The 1,549-nt window shown below is 40.7% G+C and overlaps 2 annotated features.

Annotated features, from left to right (window-relative positions):
• Positions 56-125: an enhancer, noted in NCBI's record as "active region_9589". NCBI's record gives its function as "activates an Ori minimal core promoter by ATAC-STARR-seq in GM12878 lymphoblastoid cells {active_cell/tissue: GM12878}" and the evidence as "EXISTENCE:reporter gene assay evidence [ECO:0000049][PMID:35858748]".
• Positions 166-225: an enhancer, noted in NCBI's record as "active region_9590". NCBI's record gives its function as "activates an Ori minimal core promoter by ATAC-STARR-seq in GM12878 lymphoblastoid cells {active_cell/tissue: GM12878}" and the evidence as "EXISTENCE:reporter gene assay evidence [ECO:0000049][PMID:35858748]".

A 1,549-nucleotide genomic window follows, 5' to 3' on the forward strand; every position in this document is an offset into this window, starting at 1 on the left:
CCCCTTGGGACCTGCTTCTTCTTTCAGTTCGCGTTTTCTCTGTCGTGTACAGCTTTGGAGGGACACCTTTGGGTTCCAGACTTTGATGAACACAACTTTGTATACTCTTTTCTTAGGAACATTTTTTTTCCTTTGGCACAACCGTAGACGCTCTCCGTAGTCCTCCACTCAAAGCCTCCGCTTCCTTTTTGACGTTCTGGGGATTTCTGGGAACATACGCCCACCCATCTTCCTGTTCCTTCATCACTTTTCCCTTAAAATCAGAGAGAATATTAATACATTTGTAATCATTGTTCTTAAGGTGTTGCAGACGTCACGTCTTAAGGTGTTCCAGACTTCACGACTCCTTTTTTATTAGTAAAATATTTCTGAAATTATGATAAGGTGAATAACATGTAAATCTCCTTGTTTTGAATTTTTTTTTTAGGGATCCTGCAACAAGGTCCTGTTGAAAGTGCCTCTCTCTAATATGTTTTAGGGAAAGCTTGTACCCTGTTTTAGGGCCTGTAGACTTTGCCTTTACCTAGGCAACTGTTTATGGGATTAAGGTCAGGGAAGATTCCAACTAAATTGCATCCTACTTAGTTATCACTTCTGTCCCCTGGCCCAGGAGCCTTGGGTTCCACTCTAGAACTTGGACAAATCCCAAAAGCATTTTCCAAAAGCACGGTGACATACTTACCTTTTTCTTTCTTTCTTTTTTTCTCTAAATCATTTCTTTCGGGGTTGCAACTCAGTCGCAGGAATTCATCTTTTATTGTAAGCACCACATAGATGTATAGAGCACGTTTCCGTGGAGTATTTTAAGTTGGGGGCCTTTTCTCCAACATTTGGAATCGTTTAATGGGTGGAATAACTTGCAAACTACTGGTTGTCTCTGAAACTGGTTATGGATATTCATTACATTAGTTGTCTATTTTCCCAGGTGGTCTCGAAGCTTCAATCTAGAGCAAAGGGAATAGAGTGATTCCACCAGTCCATTAGCACATGATTAGCCCATAAATAATAGGTACTAAATGTATATTGATTGTAATCCCAGCACTTTGGGAGGCCAAGGTGGACGGATCGCTTGATTGAGCCCAGGAGTTCGAGACTAGCCTGGGCAACCTGGGAGACCCTGTCTGTACAAAAAAATACAAAAATTAGCCGGGCGTGGTGGCGCATGCCTGTAATCCCCGCTACTCAGGAGGCTGAGATGGGAGAATCTGTTAAGCCCAGATGTCGAATCCACTGCACCACATCCTAGGTGACAAAGCGAGAGACCTTGTCTGCTCCCAACAAAAAACTATATTGAATGAATTAATGAGTGGAATAAATAAATCTATCCCCATTTCCACATTTGTTCCTAAAGCTGTATTCCTTAGACCCCATCCCTAGACCCCATTTAGTAACAGCTTTAATGAGACCTAATCTATGGATATACCCGTATGTTAAAAGTCATTGTTCTGTTAGTGTGGTAGTAAACTTTGACAATTGACAATAAAAAAAAATCACTATGTAGATATGTTTTGTTACATATCAACTTTTATTACAATGTAGACCAATCCAA

Source organism: Homo sapiens, chromosome 15 (assembly GCF_000001405.40).
Source record: "Homo sapiens chromosome 15, GRCh38.p14 Primary Assembly".
In the NCBI taxonomy this organism is placed as follows: Eukaryota; Metazoa; Chordata; class Mammalia; order Primates; family Hominidae; genus Homo; species Homo sapiens.